Source organism: Homo sapiens, chromosome 17 (genome assembly GCF_000001405.40).
Source record: "Homo sapiens chromosome 17, GRCh38.p14 Primary Assembly".
Classification (NCBI taxonomy): Eukaryota; Metazoa; Chordata; class Mammalia; order Primates; family Hominidae; genus Homo; species Homo sapiens.
Genome location: NC_000017.11, coordinates 9504836 through 9526001, shown reverse-complemented (window position 1 = coordinate 9526001; position 21166 = coordinate 9504836). Strand labels below are relative to the sequence as shown.

General features: G+C 41.3%; 1 protein-coding gene across 4 annotated transcripts in view, besides 2 other annotated features; it reads left to right on the top strand.

Moving 5' to 3' along the window:
* STX8 (syntaxin 8) overlaps positions 1–21166 on the top strand; it is a 325350-nt gene that overhangs the window by 49819 nt on the left and 254365 nt on the right. For all 4 annotated transcript variants that reach the window (NR_033656.2, XR_934120.3, NM_004853.3 and 1 more), the window contains one exon: positions 20840–20964. Coding sequence is in view for 2 of the 4 variants with exons in the window: in NM_004853.3 (NP_004844.1) it covers positions 20840–20964 (125 nt within the window). In the remaining 2 variants the exon portion in view is untranslated. The remainder of the gene's footprint in view (positions 1–20839; positions 20965–21166) is intronic.
* Positions 17895–18762: an enhancer, noted in NCBI's record as "H3K27ac-H3K4me1 hESC enhancer chr17:9410557-9411424 (GRCh37/hg19 assembly coordinates)". NCBI's record gives its function as "activates a minimal SCP1, AML or CMV promoter by ChIP-STARR-seq in naive and primed H9 embryonic stem cells {active_cell/tissue: H9 hESC(naive and primed)}" and the evidence as "EXISTENCE:reporter gene assay evidence [ECO:0000049][PMID:30033119]".
* Positions 18763–19631: an enhancer, noted in NCBI's record as "H3K27ac-H3K4me1 hESC enhancer chr17:9409688-9410556 (GRCh37/hg19 assembly coordinates)". NCBI's record gives its function as "activates a minimal SCP1, AML or CMV promoter by ChIP-STARR-seq in naive and primed H9 embryonic stem cells {active_cell/tissue: H9 hESC(naive and primed)}" and the evidence as "EXISTENCE:reporter gene assay evidence [ECO:0000049][PMID:30033119]".

Genomic DNA, 21166 nt, shown 5'->3' with positions numbered 1-21166 from the left:
GTCATTCTGTGGAAGGAGCAAAGGATTTGGTATTAGACAACCAGGGTTTGAGTTTTAACTACACATCATTGTCAGGAAAATGAAGGTAACCATGATTCCTCAAACTGTTGTGAAGTTCAAATGAGATAAATCTATGTGGAGGCTCTTTGTAAACTGGAAAGTGTTCTATAGACATTAATGAACGATAGCACTCACCGTCTTAGCAGAAGGGAGTACAGAGATAGCAGGCCATGTGGGGATGTCTTTCTATCTTGCACAAAACAACTCTGGACCATACATGATAGTGTATAGTGAAATGCCACTTTGTGTGATATGAGCCATAAATGATCTGGGAGATTAGAAAATGGAGAAATCTGGGCCGGGCACGGTGGCTCACGCTTGTAATCCCAGCACTTTGGGAGGCTGAGGCGGGTAGATCATGAGGTCAGGAGATCGAGACCATCCTGGCTAACACGGTGAAACCCCGTCTCTACTAAAAATACAAAAAATTAGCTGGGTGTGGTGGCGGGCGCCTGTAGTCCCAGCTACTCAGGAGGCTGAGGCAGGAGAATGGTGTGAACCCAGGAGGTGGAGCTTGCAGTGAGCCGAGATCATGCCATTGCACTCCAGCCTGGGCAACGGAGTGAGACTCCGTCTCAAAAAAAAAAAAAGAAAAGAGAAAATGGAGAAATCAATGTGGGCAGTGGGGGGAGGCTGAGAAGACCATGTATTTATACCATGTGTTTTCTGTCTTGCGTACTTTCTTGAATCCTGCTTTTTCAAGGGTGGTAGTTTCTATACCAGTCTGCACATTGGTGCCCAGCTGATTGCATAAAAGTCACCTGAGGGAGCTTATACATTCCTGGGCCCTGCTCACAGAGGGAAAGGATGACATAGTTAAAAGCGTGGGTGTTGGCCAGGCGCAGTGGCTCACGCCTGTAATCCCAGTGCTTTGGGAGGTCAAGGTGGGTGGATCACTTGAGGTCAGGAGTTCGAAACCAGCTTGGGCAACATGGTGAAACCCCATCTCTACCCAAAATACAAAAAATTAGCCAGACATGGTGGTGCATGCCTGTAGTCCTAGCTACTAGGGAGGCTGAGGTGGGAGAATTGCTTGAGCCCAGGAGGCCGAGGTTGCAGTAAGTCAAGATTGTGCCACTGCACTCCAGCCTGGGTGACAGAGTGACACCCCATCTCAAAAAAAAAAAACAGAGTGAGACCCCATCTCAAACAAACAAAAACAAAACAAAACAAAACAAATCAAAATAGGTGTCCATCTTGATAATTTGCTTTCTTAGATATGAAGTAGATGAATTGGTGTAATAATAGCAAATCAAGGTTATTGAGGTGGAAGTGATGGCTATGTAGGCAGTCCTTGACTTTTGTATGTCTTGAATGGTATGCATTATTCATTGACACCCTTTGCCATGGTCTGAATAGTAGTGTCCTCCCAAGATTCATATGTTAGAACCTAATCTCCAGTGTGATAGTATTAAGAGGTGGGACCTTCGGGGAAGTAAGTCATGAGGACTCTGCCCTCAAGAATGGGATTAGTGCCCTTATAAAAAAAAGATTGAAGGGAGCTTCCTTGCCCCTTTGGACATATGAGAACATGTAGAAGGCACCACCCATGGAGCAGAGAAAAAGTCCTCACCAGACACCGTATCTGCTTATGCCATGCTCTTGGACTTCCTGGCCTCCAGAACTGTGAGCAGTAAATTTCTGTTGTTTATAAATTGCCCAGTCTGAGGTATTTGGTTATAGCAGCCTGAAAGGACTGAGACAGAAATTGATACCGCAAGTGGGTAGAAATTTGTACATCATGTGTTGTTTTTCCTCCTTGTGTATCTTCTTGAATCCTGTCTTTTTAGAACAGTAATTTCCATATCAGTCCGCACATTGGCACCCAACTGGTTGCATAAAAGTTACCCGAGGGAGCTTACACATTCCAGAGGGAAAAGATGCCAGAATTGAAAATGTGGGTGTCCATCTCAAAATTTGTTGTCTTTAGACATGAGTTAGATGAATTGGTATAATAAACAGTAAGGTCACTGAGGTGAAAAATGGACGATGTAGGTGGTCCTTGGCTTTTGTGCATCTTGAATGCATAAGCATTATTCATTGACACTCTTAAATGGCCTTTTAATGCCTAATTTGGATTTTTGTATATCAGCTGCCAAACACACATTTCTATTAATATTATTGATGGTGGCACTGCTTGCCAGCTGATAATTTTGTTTCACTGAACTCACATCTTTGTTCATAGAACAGTATTGATTTGCACAATTGGTTGAATATTTTATTGCATTTTACCTTTACTTTATAAAATGAGTGAGAATGGAAACAAGTACAGTAAAGTGAAAACAGTAATGTTGAGACAAAGATGGAAATCATTAGGTATGCCGAATGCCTAAAGCAAATGTAGATTGCTCATCTTGACTGGACACTCAACGGATTTATCATAACTGTGTTTGGTTGTGAAGAACCAACTGGAAGAAGATGGAGAGTTGTTATTGCAGATGGTGTCAAAAAGGCATGGCTCTAGGAACACCAACTCCCTCATATTATATAAGTTCTGTTGACTTTTGCGCATTTGTTTCTCTTTAAATATATATATGTGTGTGTGTGTATATATATATGTACATATATATTTAATTGACATATAAGTGTACATATTTATGGGGTACAGTGTGATTTTTTTTTTTTTTTTTGAGATGGAGTCTCGCTCTGTTGCCCAGGCTGGAGTGCAGTGGTGCAATCTCGGCTCACTGCAACCTCTGCCTCCTGGGTTCGAGTGATTCTCCTGCCTCAGCCTCCCAAGTAGCTGGGACTACAGGCACATGCCACCATGCCTGGCTAATTTTTTGTATTTTTAGTAGAGATGGGGTTTCACTGTGTTAGCCAGGATGGTCTCGATCTCTTGACCTTGTGATCCACCTGCCTCGGCCTCCCAAAGTGCTGGGATTACAGGTGAGAGCCACCGAGCCTGGCTTACAGTGTGATATTTTGATACATGTATATAATGTGTAATGATCAAATCAGGGTAATTAGCATACCCATAACCTCAAACCTGTATCATTTCTTTGTGTTGATAACATTCATAATCCTCTCTTCTAGCTATTCAAAAAACTGTAAATTATCATTTGCTGTATTCACCTTAGTATGCCACAGAACACCAGAACTCACTTCTGCCATCCAGCTGTTCCCTGTCTCCCTTAACCAACCTTTCCTTCCCCCAACCTCTTGCCCTTCCCAGCCTCTGGTAACCACTATCCTACTCACTGCTTGTATGATATCAACTTTTTTTTTTTGAGATGGAGTCTCGCTCTTTCGCCCAGGCTGGAGTGCAGTGGCGCGATCTCGGCTCACTGCAAGCTCCGCCTCCTGGGTTCACGCCATTCTCCTGCCTCAGCCTCCTGAGTAGCTGGGACTACAGGCACCCGCCACATGCCCAGATAATTTTTTTTTTTTTTTTTTTTTTGGATTTTTAGTAGAGACGGAGTTTCACCGTGTTAGCCTGGATGGTCTCTATCTCCTGACCTCGTGATCCACCTGCCTCAGCCTCCCAAAGTGCTGGGATTATAGGCGTGAGCCACCGTGCCCGGCCGATAGGAAACTTTTTTAAGCTTCCTCACAGGAGTGAGAACCAGTGCATTGTGTTTCTAAGCATGTTGCATGCATCATGTAATAGAGAAGCTGCCTGCAATAGTTGGCCCTCCTGGACTGTTGTAACTAAACTGTAACCAGCAGATGGCTCTCAGTCACCATAAATATGGTAGAGCAGCTCATTCATCTTTTACTTGGAATTCTTGTTTTTTGTGTATCACCCCTTTTTGCCCCTCTTCTACTTTTAAGGTACCATGATTTGCAAACATTTAAGGTACAGAAGTGTTCCTTTTGGTTTTGTTTTTTGCTTAAGATGGCCTGTGTGACTCTCAGGAGCAGTGCCCTGGGGTTTTGAAATTTGAGTTGGAGACCCAAAAAAATGATGGCCTTTTCTACCCTGTATTTCTATTCTTCTGTGAACTGTTTCATCAAGGTTTTCATTTAGTGTTAAAACTTTTTATTGGTAAATTTGGCAAGCAATGAATAGGAAAAAATAGGATTGCTTTTAAATTAGAACAATATTTGATTGTAATAGATTTTAAAGGTGCTATAGTGAAATTTCCTTGGATATTATGTAAGGAAGATATTTTCCTTGTTCTGATTCTTATTTGTTCTGGACTAATACTCAATGGAGATTATTCAATTTGAACAAAAAATATTTTGAGTATCAACTTTGCAGTCGGCACAATGTTAGGCATTTATTGTCCCTTGAGTATTAGCTCCATGAGGTCAGGTATTTATGTCTCTCTTGTTCACTTACAAGTCACTAGATTAGTGCCTGATACATAGAAGATATTCAGTGTTTGTCAGATGGATGGATGGATGGAAGGGTGGATGGGATACAGAAAAGAGTAGGACAGAGTATTGGACTGAAAGATGTTAACAGTTTAGTAAATATGGCTACAGATATTCCTACATAATCATGATCTCTTGAAGGACCAGTTTAACTCTGGGATTGTTATTAAGTGCTGTGTTGAAAATTGAAAGGTAATGAAAAAATTTCCTTTTCCTGAAGTCGTGTCAATTTCTTCAAGTCACATAGGTTTGGCAATCTTTATTCCCTATATCCAGTCTATTCATCAACACTTGTGGAATTTCCCTTGAGCCACTATGTTAATTGTCCCTTTCTCTCTGTTCCCTCTTGTCACTTCCCTTGTCCAGACTCCTGTTACCTCCCACCTAAATTACCACACTGGCCTTTTGGCCTGCCTCTCTGACTGCAGCCTCTCTTCCGTGTAATCCAGTCTGCGTATTGTTGCCAGACTTCGTCTCTAAAGAATTTCTGTCAAAGAATCTATTTCTAATTGAAATTTGAGCCTCTGTGCATCTTTATATTCACAGAAAGGAACTACCAAAAAAAGTTCTGAAAAAGGAATTACCCTTTTATATCATAGGAGTGTTTTCAAATCTATAGGCAAGTCTAGTTACGAAGCTTTGCAGACTCAGCTCACTCACACCCCAGAAATATCTTCCCTCATCCTAACTGCAAACCTCCCTGTGGTCTGTGAATGCCCAAACACTGATATTTTTTCCAGACAAAACAAACATTTTATATAGTCACTTTGACATCTTTTTGAAACGCTAAGAAAGGCTAAAGAAAGCTACTTCTTGGAATTCACTGCTATTTCAATTCTGTATTCAGTTGATAAGAACGCCCTTCCTATGAACTCTAACAAGCTTCAACTTCATTTGTCTGTAGAAAGACATGGATTGTCTGTGCACCCCCCCGATATTATCATAATTTAAATAATGTACATCATTTTCTTTGGGGGATGAAAATGAAATCATTTTATGTCTTTAGAAGTGATTGTGAAACTTTTTGGTTAAATCTTGATAAGACAAGATATCTAACGTATTTACTGATGTGGCATTTATTTGATAAGTTTCATTTATTTGAAAAGTTTCATCTTGAAATAATATGGATAGAAATCATTTATTAAAAAAATTCAAGTCTGTTCTAAGCTCAGAAGCATAGTATTTAGCATTTCCTTTCTTTAATTTCCTTTGCAGAGGAAAAATGCCTCTTACTTGTCATTTCCAAAAGTGAGGCTGAGCTACAAGGTGTTTTACTGACCAAATTCCCTTTCAAGTAATTCTCTCCATCTGCTCAAACAGTATCAGTCTTTGCTGCTGAAGTCTTGAAGGCAGGTAGCAGTTGATTAAGTTTTGCTTTGCTTGATTTTTAAAAAACATTTCAAGATAAAAATGTTAAATGCTTCTCTCATTTTGTTTTTAAGAAAGAGAGCTTAAAAACCTCAATGGTTTTCCTAGTTCTGGTTCATAAACATTTACTGAATGCTTATGCTCTGGCATATTCCGAGGCTCTGTGTTTTGGTCCTGGGGATATAAACATAACTGTCATGTGGCCTCTTCCCTCACAGAGCTCATAATTTAGGAAGGGAGACAGATGAGTAAATAACTAACTACAATCCCGCTTGATAAATGCCACGTTAGAGGTTGTGAACATAGCACCATGGGAATACCAGCGAGTGATTGATTCAAGGGAAGGGGGATGGGGCTAGGGATCAGGAAAGCCTAAGCAGCAGAATTGACATTTGAGTTGAACCTTAGGGGAATGAATAGAATTTTGCCAGATGGACAAAGGGGGTGGGGGTGGGGACACTCCAGACTCATGCAAAAACATGAGAGTGTGAAAGTTTTGCCTTTGTCTGAGCGGTGGGGAGCAGTCTGGAGGGCCGAAGTAGGGTGTGGAAGCGGGGATGTTGAGGAGATGATGTCGTAGAGAGATCGTAGCCATGTTGTAGCTTCTGGGGAGTCAGGGAAGTTTTTGAATAGGGAAGTGATAGGGTGAGATCTCTGTTTTAAGAACAATAATTCTTGCAGCAGAGTGTAGGATGATTTGAATGAGGGTAACTGGGGACAAGGAGACCGATCAGAAGGCTGTAACCATGTTGTACATGAGAGGTGATGGGTGTCTGAGCCAAGGCAGTACCAATGGGGAGGGCAGTCAGGGCTTGGATGTGAGAACCATCTCTGAGGGAGGCCTTGTTTGTTGATGAGATGTGGTTAGAAGGGAGACCAAAAAAAAAAAAATGGCTTGGATGACTTGGGAATACAGTGATGCTGCTCACCAAAATAGAGAGCGTACGAGAAGAAGCAGCTTATGGGGTGAGAGTCATGAATTTGATTTTGGATATGTTGAGTTTGGGGAGGAATACCCAGTTGGAGATTTTTAAATGAAAAGACACAAATGCAGATAAAGAACCTGTAGGGAGATATTATGGGTAGAGACAAATTTGTAAGTCTGTTTAGCACCGTGATTTTCAATCAGGTAAGGGGTGGGAGGACGTGCTTTGCCTGAATGTTTTTATATGTGGGGTTTCTTTTTAACTATTTGTGTGCTACTCCCCCCAAACCCTCCAGATTCTGGTATTGTCCTGCTAGGAAGGAGAGCACGTCCCTCCCCACCCCTAGTTCAGAATTCACCACCATAATGACTCAAGGGAATGTGTCTGATTTCATATGTGCTGGGCATAGAATGAATGTCTTTAAGCATTGCTAGCATTTATTCTTTTTTTTTTTTTTTTGAGACGGAGTCTCGCTCTGCCGCCCAGGCTGGAGTGCAGTGGCACGATCTCGGCTCCACTGTAACCTCTGCCTTCCGGGTTCAGGCGATTCTCCTGCCTCAGCCTCCCGAGTAGCTGGGATTGCAGGCGCCCACCACTACGCCCAGCTAATTTTTTGTATTTTTAGTAGAGACGGGGTTTCACCATGTTGGCCAGGCTGGTCTTGAACTCCTAACCTCGTGATCTACCCGCCTCGGCCTCCCAAAGTGCTGGGATTACAGGCATGAGCCACCACGCCTGGCTGCTAGCATCTGTTCCTACAGCCTGAAGCCCCTAGCACAGATAGACTTGCCCAGAGAAACACAATACCGTGAGAGGAGCAGATCTAAGTCGAATTCCCAAGGAACCCACATTTCAGAGGCAGATGGGGGAAGAGGTACCTGCAAATTATAGAGAAGGAGCTGTCAGTGGGAGAGAGTGGTGTGGAGGAAGCCAAGAGAGGAGAGGATTCATGGAAAGGGGGATAATAAGCTTAGCTGTGACACATGAGGCCTGGAAGAGGGGTCTGGTAAGGCCTGGAGGAGGGGTCTGGTAAGACCTGGGAAGAGTGTTTGGCAGTGAGGAGGCTGTGAGTGAGAAGATTTTGGTCGTGCAGGGGTAGAAGTTGGCTTGCAGTGGGTTGAGGAGTGAACGGGGGTCAGGAAGTGGAGTTGGTGAGCATAGGTTATTCTTCATGGAAGTTTGGCTGCAAATAGGAGAGAAAGTCATTGCTTGAGGATTTATAGGATGGAGAAGAACTAGTAGAAAGTTAAAATTATGAGATCCTGGGATAATAGGAGGATAAGTTATTAGAACAAATGGAGGGTCACTGTAGCTACCTACCTCGGAATTAATTCTAAATCTAGCCCCCCCAAATTTTGCCCACTCTCCACTCTTACATCACACATGTTTATGTGGTACACATTCCTGGTCCTGGAGACTCATTCGTGTTTTTGCCTTTTCTTGGAATGCCTTACCATCTCTTCCTTTCTTCACTAAACCTCACGCATTCTTCAAGGCTGCCTTAAGTCTCTTTGCCTTTTTTTTTTTTTTTTTTTTTTTACAATAGGGGTCTTGCTTTGTTGCCCAGGCTGGTCTTGAACTCTTGGGCTCAAACAGTCCTCCTGCCTTGGCCTTCCAAAGTGCTGGGATTACAGGTGTGAACTACTGTGCTCAACCTCCTTACCTTTATGAAACCTCTGAAGTGGTAGAAAGGAAATGCCTTGGGTTAAGAATCACAAGATGTGGGCTGAACCCTTAGCTCTGCCACTAGGTGGGTGGCCCTGAGGAAGCCACTGGATGTCTCTGCCTTAGTTTTCTTGTCAGTAATACCTGTGCTGACTTACACACAGGGCTGTGTGCGATTCACATGAGATAATGTTTGTGAAATGCCTTTGAAATCACAAAACATATTATAGCACCAATGTGTGATACTGTAATTTCCTGACAACTCTCCTTATTGATTTCATTCATTTATTTATGGGTTTTGCTGAAAAAATAATTAATTCCATGTTTTTCTTTCAGTGTCCATTATGCCAGCCATAATGTGATAAAGGATGGAGTGATAAGACCTAGTCCCTGCCCTTGTGGAGCTTATAGTCTAGCGTGGGAGACAGAAAACAAACAAATGCATAATGGCTGGTGACTTCAGTGCTATAAAGAAAAATTAAGCAAGATAAGGAGGAGTGGGGTGAAGGAGTGACAGAGACAGATGTTATTTTAGATGGAGGAGTCAGGGAAACCTCTCTGAGGAGACAACATTTGAGAGGAGATTGAAAAAATCTAATTCACAATTTGCAACAATAGGAAATCATCTTTTGCAGGATTAAAAAGAATATCTGCTTTCTCCCACCAAGATGAGTCTTCCCCACTTACTCCCCAATGTCACTAATAACAAGGGTATCATATCCTCAAGTGTTGGGCCAGAAAGAAGGTTGAAAACCATTGGCCCACTTAGTTTGCTTGTTTTATGGGTGAGAAAACCAGAGCTGAAGAGGTTTTTGGAATTGCCCAGGAGGGATACAAAGCTAGATGCTCTCTTATTTTAACTAGTGTGCTTCATGTTGGTGAGTTTCTCATTTCAATTTGATTATAAACTCCTTGAAAGCAAGAATTATGTTTTCATATTATTTTTCGTATTTTCCTAGTACCTAGAACAGTAATAATAGGCACCACCCCAAATGTTAAATTGAACATAAAACCAAATGAAAAGAGAATCGGGTGTACATCCAGGGATACCTATGATCTCATGATCTTACCTGCTTTTCTGAGTGAAGGTCAGTGAGTGAAATTGCTGGATTTCCTCATAGGTTTGGGGCATCAGGAAAGTAGAAACACCAAACAAACCAGAGAGAAGTGGAGTTAGACAGTTCAGCCTTGGGAATCAGATAACCCTGGGAAATCCTTTCTATATATGTCTGTGGTGATGTATGTTTGATATTAGTATTAAATTGTGCCCATATTGTCACTTTTATTTTCTAACAGGTGTTTATTTTCTAACAGGTGTCTATATATATATATATATATATATATATATATATATATATATATATGACTGTGGTTCTAATGTGTCATTTTTGAGATTGTGAAAAAAATATTTTTACATTTTTTCCCCTTGAATAACAGCTTTTTAAAAGCATGCACTAGGGCTCACAGGAGCTACCAGTGACTGGTTCCAACATTAAGTTCAGAGGAGCAATAACACCTCAGGGGCAATATACTCATTTTGATGGTCATAGCTGGTTACTAATGCACTTTCAAAGTATCTTTACATACCTCTGACCCACTTGCATTTGCAGTAAACCATGGACAAATCCTGTGTAATTCCTGATTTGAAAAGTGGCTCTTGCAAGATGATATGAGAGTTGGGATAGGCTTTGAATGTGAATTTTCTTCTTTCCTTCCCTTTCCTATTGCATTCTTCCCCCTTCTTCGAAGGTACGTGAAATTGAATAATTATTATAGAGAAGAAATCCAAAATCTTGACATCTTGGCTATTTGGTGCCAATGGCATAAAGTAAGGCTTCCAGCTGGGCACAGTGGCTCATGCCTGTAATCCCAGCATTTTGGGAGGCCAAGGTGGGAGGCTTGTTTGAGCCCTGGAGTTCAAGACTAACTTGGGCAACATAGCGAGACCCCATCTCTACAAATAATAAAAATAATTAGCCAGGTGCAGAGGCACGCACCTGTAGTCCCAGCTACTCAGGAGGCTGAGGTGGGAGGATCCCTTGAGCTCTGGAGGTCAAGGGTGTGGTGAGAGATGATTGTACCACTGCACTCCCGCCTGGGTGACAGAGTGAGACCCTGTTTCAAATAAATGAATGGATGAATGAATGAATGAGAGAGAGAGAGAGAGAGAAAGACTTCAAAGAAACACACCTGTCGTTTTAGTAAAGTGGAAGAAAGTCATACTTCTGTTTGGCATGCTAATTAGTATACTTGAGACCAACTCTGTGCTTAAAATCTTAGTCTAAGGAATCAAAAATTTTCTTCCAGTTTTGCCTGGGTTTGTCTCTTGCTACATGAAATAGTCTTCCAAAGGCTTTAAAGTTCTAAACTAAAAGTGAAATTAATATAGCTTTTGTGATATACAGATTTATTTAAAATTTTTTAGTGCCTTCTGTGTAAAAAAATGCAATAATTGGTATTATGATAGTAGTTAACATCTTCCAAGTACGACATTAGACAGTTTGCACACATTTTACACATTGTTTCATCCCACCAGAATGCAAACAGCACCGATAACAAGAATCTATGCTTTGTATGGGTGGAGATTTTGGTCCATTTGTCTATATTCTATTTTTTCTTCATGCCCATTAATGAGAGCAATGCCGACTATATAATAACTACGAAGTAAATGTTTTTGGAATGAAAAATTATTGAATCCTCCAGCTACTTTCTGTTCATATGTTGCCAGTAGGTGATATGCTATTAGCTGTTCACTCCATATTGTGGGACAGCGTGTGTACAGCGAAGGGTGATTTTCAGTTTCTGCCTTCTGTCTAGTGGATATGCACCTTATCTATATAAAAGGTTAAATAATAGGGTAGCAATTGTTTCTGGATGATATGGGAGATGTGAACAAGGCTAGAAGAATTATAAATAATGGAGATATGAGTGAATATATATAAATCACCTGGAGCCGTGTCTGTACAGGGCAAATGCTTACTGCATGTTAACTGTTGTTATTGCTATTGTAACATCATTGTCATCATTTTGTTTTTTGTTTGTTTTTGTTTTGTTTTTGAGATGGAGCCTCACTTTGTTGCCCAGGTTGGAGTGCAGTGGCGCAATCTTGGCTCACTGCAACATCCGCCTCCTGAGTTCAAGCAATTCTTCCTGCCTCAGCCTCCCAAGTAGCTGGGATTACAGGCGCCCGCCACCATGCCTAGCTAATTTTTGTGTTTTTAGTAGAGACAGGGTTTTACCATGTTGGCCGGGCTGGTCTGGAACTCCTGACCTCAGGTGATCCACCTGCGTTGGCCTCCCAAAGTGCTGGGATTACAGGTGTGAGCCACCGCACCCAGCCTATCATTTTGTTTTAATTGACATATAATAATTATACATATTTATGGGGTACATAGTGATGTTTTCATACATGTAATATATAATGAGCCAGTCAGGATAATTAGCACATTCATAATCTCAAACATTTTTCATTTCTTTGTGTTGGGAACATTCTATATCGTCCTTCTAGCTACTGGAGACTTTATTGTTAACTGTAGTCATCCTACAGTGGTGAATAGAACACTCAAACTTATTCCTCCTGTCCAACTATAATTGTGTGTCCCTTAACAAATCTCTTGCTCTCCCCCTTCTCCCTACTCTCCCCAGTTTCTGGTGTGCTCTGTTCTACTTTTTACTTCTATGAGATCAACTTTTGTTTTTAGCTTCTGCGTATGAGTAAGAACATGCAGTGTTTAGCTTTCTGTTCCTGGCTTATTTTACTTAATATAATAACGTCCTCCAGCTCCATCCATGTTGCTGTGAATGGCAGGATTTTATTCTTTTTTATGGCTAAATTGTATTCCGTTGTGTATGTATACCACACTTTCTTTATCCATTCATCTGTTGTTGGATAGGTTGATTCCATATTTTGCCTACTGTGAATAGTGCTGCAGTAAACATGTGGGTGTGGATATCTCTTCAAAATACTGATTTTCTTTCCTTTGGATAAGTGCCCAGTAGGGGGATTGCTGGATCATATGGTAGCTCTAGTTATAGTTTTTTGGGGAACCCCCATACTGCTCTCCATAGTGGCTGTACTAGTTTACATTTCCACCATCTGTGTATAAGAGTTCCTGTTTCACAACATCCTCACAAGCATTTATTTTGTGTTTTTGATGATAGCCATTCTAAGTGGAATGAGATGATACCTCATTGTGATTTGGATTTGCAGTTCCCTGACGATTAGTAATGCTGAGCAATTTGTATATATTTGTTGGCGCATTTGTGTGTCATTTTTTGAGAAATGTCTGGTCAGATCATTTGTCTGTCTTTCACATATTTTGTGTATCTTTTTTTTTTTTTTTTTTTTTGGAAATAGAGTCTCACTATGTTATCCAGGCTTAAGTAATCCTCCCACCTCAGCCTGAGTAGCTGGGACTATAGGTGCATGCCACCATGCCTAGCTCATTTGCCCATTTTTCCATCCAATTATTATTATGATTTTTGCCATTGAGATATTTTGAGTTCCTTACATATTTTGCATATTAATCCTCTGTTGGATAAACAGTTTGCAAATATTTTCTCCTATAGATTGTCTTTTCACTCTATTGACTGTTTCCTTTGCTGTGCAGAAGCTTTTTAGTTTGTTGTAATCTCATTCGTTTCTTTTTGCTTTTGTTGCCTGTGCTTGTGAGGTCTGACTCATAAAATCTTTTCCCAGATCAACATCCTGAAGTGTTTTCCTTGTTTTTGCCTGGTACTTTTATGGTTTTGGGTTTTACATTTAGGTCTTTGAATCATTTTGAGTTGATTTTTTCCTTAGGGTGATAGATGGGTGTCCAGGTTCATTCTTATGCATGTGCATATTCAGTTTCCCAACACCATTTATTGAAGAGACTGTCTTCCCCCAGTGAGTATTCTTGGCACCTCTGTTAAAAATGAGTAGGCTTGGCTGGGTTCACATCTGTGATCCCAGCATTTTGGGAGGCTGAGGTGGGCAGATTGGAGTTTGAGGCCAGCCTGGGCAACATGGTGAAACCCCGTCTCTACAAAAATTATCTGAGTGTGGTGGCGTGTGCCTGTAATCCCAACTACTCAGGAGACTGAGGTGGGAGGCTCACTTGAGCCTGGGAGGCACAGGTTGCAGTGACTCAAGATTGCATCACTGCACTCCAGCTGGGTTATAGAGTGAGACTCTGCCTCGGAAAAAAAAAAAAAGATCAGTTGGCTCTAGATACATGGATTAATTTCTGGGTTCTCTATTCTGTTCCATTGGTCTGTGTGTTTGTTTTTATGTCAGTATCATAAAAACAGCATTGTAGTACATTACTACAGCTTTGTGGTATATTTTGAAGTCTGGTAGTGTGATGCCTCCAGCTTTGTTCTTTTTGCTTAGGATCGCTTGTCTCTTCAGGGTCTTTTGTGGTTCCATGCAGATTTTTAAGATTTTTTTCTATTGCTGTGAAGAATGTTATTGGTATTTTGATAGAGATTGCATTGAATCTGTAGATTGCTTTGGGTAGTATAGTCATTTTAACAATATTAATTCTTCCAATCCATGAGCATGAAATAACTTTGCCTTTGTCTGTATCCTCTTCAATTTCTTTCATCAGTGTTTTGTAGTTTTTCTTTTAGAGATCTTTCACCTCCTTGGTTAAATTTATTCCTAGGTAATTTTGGCGGGGGGATTGCTATTGTAAATGAGATTGTCTTCTTGATTTCTTTTTCAACTAGTTCATTATTTATAGAAACACCACTTACTGATTTTTGTATGTTGATTTTGTATTCTGCAACTTTACTAAATTTGTTTATCAGTTCTGAGAGGTTTTTTTTTGGTAGTCTTTAGGCTTTTCTCTCTATAAGATCATGTTTTCTGCAAACAGAAACAATTTGACTTTCTCCTTTCCAATTTTAATGCCATTTATTACTTTCTCTTGTCTGATTACCATGGCTAAGACTTCCAGTACTGTGTTGAGTAAGAGTGATGAGAGTGGGCATCCTTGTCTTCTAGTTCTCAGAGGCAAAGCTTTCACCTTTTCTGTATGATGTTAGCTGTGGGTTTGTCATATATGGCCTTTATTGTGTTGAGGTACTTTCCTTCTATACCTAGTTTATTGAGAGTTTTTAATTGAGATGTTGAATTTTATCAAATTTTTTTCTGCATCTATTCAGATTATCATGTGGGTTTTGTCCTTTATAGTTGATGTGATATATCACATTTATTGATTTGTGTATGTTGAACCATTCCTGCATTCATTGGATAAATTCCACTTGATCATGGTATATTATCTTTTTGATGTATTGTTGGATTTCATTTGCTAGTATTGAGGATTTTTGTGTGTATATTTATCAGGGATATTGGCCTGAACTTTTCTTTTTCTGTTGTATTCTTGTCTGCTTTTGATATCAGGGTTATTCTGGCCTCTTAGCATGAGTTAGGTAGAATACCCTCACTTCAATTTTTTGGAATAGTTTGAGAAGAATTGGTATGCATTTTTCTTTAAAGGTTTGGTAGAATTCAGTATGAAAGCCATTCAGTCCTGGACTTTTCTTTGTTGGCAGATTATATTATTGATTCAATCTCATTACTTGTTATTGGTCTGTTCAGGTTTTAAAAAAATTTCTTCTTGGTTCAATCTTGATAGGTTGTATGTGTCCAGGAATTTATCCATTTCCTCTAGGTTTTTTAATTTATTGGTGTAGAGTTGTTTGTAGTATCCTGTAATGATTCTTTGTATTTCTGTGGCATCCATTGTCATGTCTCCTTTTTCTTGCCTGATTTTATTTGTTTGAGTCATCTCTCTTTTTTTCTTAGTCTAGCTAATGGTATCTCAATTTTATCTTTACACAAAACCAACTTTTATTTTGTTGATTTTTTAAATACATTTTTTATTTCAATTTCATTTATTTCTCCTCTGATCTTTATTATTTCTTTCCTTTACTAATTTTGGGTTTGGTTTATTCTTGTTTTCCTAGTTTCCTTGAGATACATTGTTAGGGTATTTGAAATCTTTCTAGTTTTTTATTGTAGGCATTTATTGTTATACACTTGCCTCATAGTACTACTTTTGCTGTGTCCCATAGGTTTCGGTATGTTGTGCCTCTATTTTCATTTACTTCAAGGAATTTTAAAATTCCATTCTTAATTTTGTCCTTCACTCACTGGCTGTTCAAGAGCATGTTGTTTAATTTCCATGTGTTTGTATCATTTTGCATGTTCCTCATGTTATTGATATTTTCCACTGTGGTTAAATAGGATACTTGGTATGATTTCAATTTCTAAAAAAATTTTTGAGACTTGTTTTGTGTCCTAACATATGGTCAGTCCATGTTCTATGTGCTGTTGACAAGAATGTATATTCTGTAGCTGTTGGGTGAAATGTTCCATAAATATCTGTTAGGTCTGTTTGTTCTGTGGTGTAGTTTAAATATGATGTTTCTTTGTTGATTTTCTGTCTGAATGATCTGTCCAATGCTGAGAGTGAGATGTTAGAATCTCCAGCTATTACTCTATTTGAGTCTATCTCTCCCTTTAGAGCTAATAATGTTTGCTTTATATATCTGAGTGCTCTGGTATTGAATGTGTATATATTTACAGTTGTTACATTCTCTTGTTGAATTGATCCCTTTATTATTATGTAATGTCCTTCTTTGTCTAATTTCACAACTTTTGACTTGAAGTCTGTTTTGTCTGATATAAGTACAGCTACTCCTGCTTGCTTTTGGTTTTTGTTTGCGTAGAATATCTTTTTCCATACCTTTGCTTTCAGTCTATGTGTGTCTGTAGGTCAGGTGAGTTTCTTCTATGCAGCATATAGTTGAGTCTAGTCTTGTTTTTTTTTTTTTAATCTAGTTATCCAGTCTATGTCTTTTAATGAGATATTTAATTCACTTACATTCAAGGTTATTATTAATAGGTGAGGACTTATCTTGTCATTTTATTGTTTTCTGGCTGTTTTCTATATCCTTTGTTCCTTACTTCCTCTTACTGTTTATTTTTGTGGTTGGGTAGTGTTCTGAAGTGATAAGGCTTGATTTCTTTCTCTTTTTCCTTTGTATATTGGCTCTACCAGTGAGTTTTATAGTGTCACATGTTTTTATAATGGCTGTTATGATCTTTTCACTTCCAGATGTAATACTCCCTTGAGCACTTCTTGTAAGACTGGTCTAGTGGTGATGGATTACCTTCGTTTTTGCTTGTCTGTGAAAGATTTTATTTCTCTTTCATTTCTGGAGGATATCTTTGCTGCATGTAATATTCTTGGTTGGCAGATTTTTTTTTTCTTTTAGTACTTTGAACATAAAATCCTATTCTCTCTTGGTTGGTAAGATTTCTGCTGAGAAATCTGCTATTAGTCTAATGGGAACTCCCTCATAGGTGATTTGATGCTTTTCTCTTGCTGGTTTCTTTTTGTCATTGTTGTTTGTTTGTTTTTGAGATGGAGTCTTGCTCTGTTGCCCAGGCTGGAGTGCAGTAGCGTGGTCTCAGCTCACTGCAACCTCCGCCTCCCAGGTTCAAGTGATTCTCCTGCCTCTGCCTCCTGAGTAGCTGGGATTACAGGCACCTGCCACCATGCCCAGCTAATTTTTTTGTATTTTTAGTAGAGACAGAGTTTCACCATGTTGGCCAGGCTGGTCTTGAACTCCTGACATCGTGATCTGCCAGCCTCGGCCTCCCAAAGTACTGGGATAACAGGCATGAGCCACCACATCCAGTCCTTCTCTTGCTGTTTTTAGAATTCTTTGTCTTTGACTTTTGATAATTTGACTCTAATGTGCCTAAGAGGGGTCCTGTTTGAATGGAATCTATTTGGGATTCTTTTAGCTTCCTGGATCTGGAAGCTCCCAAGACTTGGGAAGTTTTCAGCTACTATTTCATTCAATGTTTTCTGTACATTTGCCCTTCTTTTCTCTTTCTGGAACACCTACAGTGTGAATATTTGTTCACTTAATAGTGTCCCATGAATTCTGTAGGCTTTCTTCATTCCATTTTACTTTTTCTTCCCCCCATCTTTCTGTGTTATTTCACAAGATCTGTCTTCAAGTTCAAAAATTCAGCCACGCATGGTGGCTCACACCTGTAATCCTGGCACTTTGGGAGGCCAAGGCGGGCAGATCACTTGAGATTAGGAGTTCGATACCAACCTGGCTAACATGGTGAAACCCCATCTCTACCAAAAAATACAAAAATTAGCTGGATGTGATGGCATGCCCCTGTAGTCCCAGCTACTCAGGAGGACTGAGGAGGGAGAATCACTTGAGCCCAGGAGGTGGAGGTTGCAGTGAGCTGAGATAATGCCACTGCACTCCAGCCTGGGTGACAGAGTAAGAACCTGTCTCCAAAAAAATAAATAAATAAAATTCTGCTTGGTCTAGTCTTTTGGTAAAGCTCTAGCTTGTACTTATTTACTTATTCATTGAATTCTTCCACTCCAGGATACCTGTTTTGTTCTTTTTTATGGTATTTATCTTCTTGTTGAATTTCTTGTTCAAGTCATGAATTGTTTTCCTGATTTCATCAAATTGTCTAGCTCTATTATCTTGTATCTCACTGTAAGATTACTATTTTGAATTCTTTTTCTGTCATTTTGTATATTTCTCTATCATTGGGGTCTATTACACAGGAATTATTGTATTCCTTTGGAGGTGTCATGTTTCCTTGCTTTTTCATGTTCGATGTATCCCTATGTTGATGTCTATGCATCTGGTGGAATAATTGCCTCTTCCAATTTTATGTGGTAGGTTTTGCAGGGAAAGAAATATTTGTATGAATGGATCTTGGGGTGTTGGTTCAGTGGGATGCATTGGCTTTGGTTCCAGGTGGGCATAGTAGTGTAGTTTTTGTGTAGTTTCTTTAACTGTAATCCATGCCAGTGACATTTGTGAGTGTCTCAGTGGCCTCAGCTGAGAGGCTTTGTGGTGGTGGTGGCATGACTTTGCCAGGGATGTGTTCACCGGGCTATTTGTCAGGTCAGCGATGCATGCGTTCACATGGTGGGTTGTCCAACTTGGGGTCTCACTTGCTGGGGTTGGGGTTGGTGCCCTTACTCTGGCTGAGGGCACAGTTGCTTGGTTGCTTGGCCAGTCTGGGAGTATGCCTGCCAGAGGTGGCCTGTTGGGCTGTTTCTCAGGTTTGGGACATGGGCACACTGCTGCTCAGCTCTCCTGTGGGGAATGCCTGCTGGGGACAGCCTACAGGGCTATTTCTCAGGCATGAGAGGTGGGCATAAGTCTGCTTGATGGCCCCGGGGGCATGTCTGCCAGGAGTGGCCTGAGGAGTTGCTTCTCAGACCCGGGATATGAACACAAGGCTGCTCGGCTGGCCTAGGGGAGTTGCCGCTAGGGGTGACCCATGGGCTGTTTTTCAGGCCTGAGATATGGACACATGGCTACTTGGCTGGCCTGGGGGTATGTCTGCCAGGGGCAGCCTGCAGGGTTGTTTCTCAGGCCCTGATTGAGGTGTGGGGCCTTTGGGCAGGCCGGGGGCATGTCTGTAGGGGGCTGCACTGCCCGACTGTTTCATAGATCCGGGATGCAGGAGCGTAGTCACTCTGCTAGCCTGTCAGTTGCTCAGGGCCTTCTGCTTGCAGGAGGGTATGCAGCAGTTTGGTTGGCTCAAGAGTGGGTTTGCCCTGGGTGGGACTGTTTCTGTGGCTGAAAGTGCAGAGGGTGGTTTCCCTTCATTGCAGGACCAGAGTCACAGCCATTCCCGAGCCCTGGGTTGTGGAGTTCAGCCACCTGTGTAGCTTTGGTGGCATGAAAATGGAGTCCCAGTGCTGGAAAGGTGCAGTGGCTACTGGCCCCAAGAGGAAGGCACACTCCAGAGGGAGCTGTGGTCTAAAGATGGCGCCATGCTGTAGTAACTTGGCTCATGGAGTGGGTGGGGAGTGGGGAATGCTCCTAATCTGGGGCAGTGCAACTGTACGAATTCCCAGCAGCTCTCCAAACTGGGCTCAGAACTTGCAAGGACTGGGGGATCCTCCTGTAATAAGGACTGTAGGTGTTTGCAGTGGCAGTGGGGGCAGGTGGGAATCTCCCGCTTACCTTTTCCTCACAGGGAGAAGGCCTTCATATGTCCAGGCCTCCTCAGTCCTGGTGGAAGAGATGGGGCCACAGAGGCTGGGGGCCTTCATGCTGCCCTCCTAGACTTTCAGTCACCACAGGGGCCTCTCCACTTCCCCACTGCAGTTCAGCACTTTCCCACACTGAAGTCAAATCTTAGCTGTTTATTCATTGCCTTAGTCCTTTCCTAAGAAAGGTGGGTGGGGGGGGGGGGGAGCGGGTGAGCACCAGCTGACTCTAATCAGTCATCTTGCTGATGTCCCACCCATCATTTATTCTATGATTTTTCATGAATCTGTTGAGAGCTCTAAAGATGAGTCTAATGTTCATCTCTTTGTTGAATTGGTCAGAAGGTCGTGTCCTGGACAAGATGATCTTCTCAGCTTGGACAGAATGCAGACAGGTGGGGAGAGGAGAGGAGCTACTTGAGAGGAGAAAAATCCTGAAAACATGGGGACTGAGGTGGAAATCATGTGTTTCCTGTTCCTTAGACAGCGAGACCAACTGGTCTCGTGCAGAAAGGGCACATGGATTATTAGAGGGAGTAAGGTTAAGATTGACAAATCAGAATGTGTTTATTCTGTTATGAATGCTACATTATAGTCACAAAATTGGTATTGAAACCCTGCATGTGTTTCTGTCTCTGAGCAACCAAATACTCCTTTTTTTTTTTTTTTTTTTGAGACAGAGTCTTGCTCCGCTACCCAGGCTGCAGTGCAGTGGCGCCATCTTGGCTCACTGCAACCTCCGCCTCTCAGGTTCAAGCGATTTTCCTGCCTCAGCCTCCCAAGTAGCTGGGATTACAGATGTCTGCCGCCAAGCCCGGCTAATTTTTTTTGTGTTTATTAGAGACAGGGTTTCATCATGTTGGACGGGCTGGTCTGGAACTCCTGACTTCAGGTGATCTGCCCGCCTCAGCCTCCCAGAGGGCTGGGATTACACACATGAGCCACTGCGCCCGGCTCCAAATACCCTTTAATGGGAAATTATATGGTCTTTTTTTAAAACAACAACAACATTGTAATCTGTAGTCGCAACATTGTGTCTGCTTGAGAAATAATATTTGTACCTTTGGGGTCACGTAGCCTCTGAGACAAACTTTGTCCTAATAAAAAGGCCGCTGTTCGGCCTTCTGTTTTTGAAATTTAAGAACCTCATTTATTACCAACTTCTTTTAGGATTATTAACTCAAACATCTCTTGGAGGATTAGTACAAATATTATGTTCTCCCATCATCTCTATAACAGGCTGTAATTCTGAGGACCAAGCTTGTGCCTTATTCATCCTTGTATCTCGTCCAGCACTGAATACAGTTCCTGGCATAAACTAATGATGCAATAAATTGTGTTTGAATTGAATTTTCAAAGCATTCAAGGCTGGCCACCTCTGCACTTGTGGGAGTAATTTGCATTTGAGCTGCATGTTTTGAGATATATCATGCATTTAATATTGTTCTTTAGGTCCAGCCTGATGAGTGAAGAGGCTAAGCGAGGAGCACCCAACCCTTGGCTCTTTGAGGAGCCAGAGGAGACCAGAGGCTTGGGTTTTGATGAAATCCGGCAACAGCAGCAGAAAATTATCCAAGGTACTAAATATCCTGAGGAGTGTGGGCTCAGAAACCTTGCCAGAATTTTTTTTTTTTTTTTTTTGAGACGGAGTCTTGCTATGTCGCCTAGGCTGGAGTGCAGTGGCGTGATCTTGGCTCACTGCAACCTCCACCTCCCGGGTTCAAACGATTCTCCTGCCTCAGCCTCCCGAGAAGCTGGGACTACAGGTGCGTGCCACCA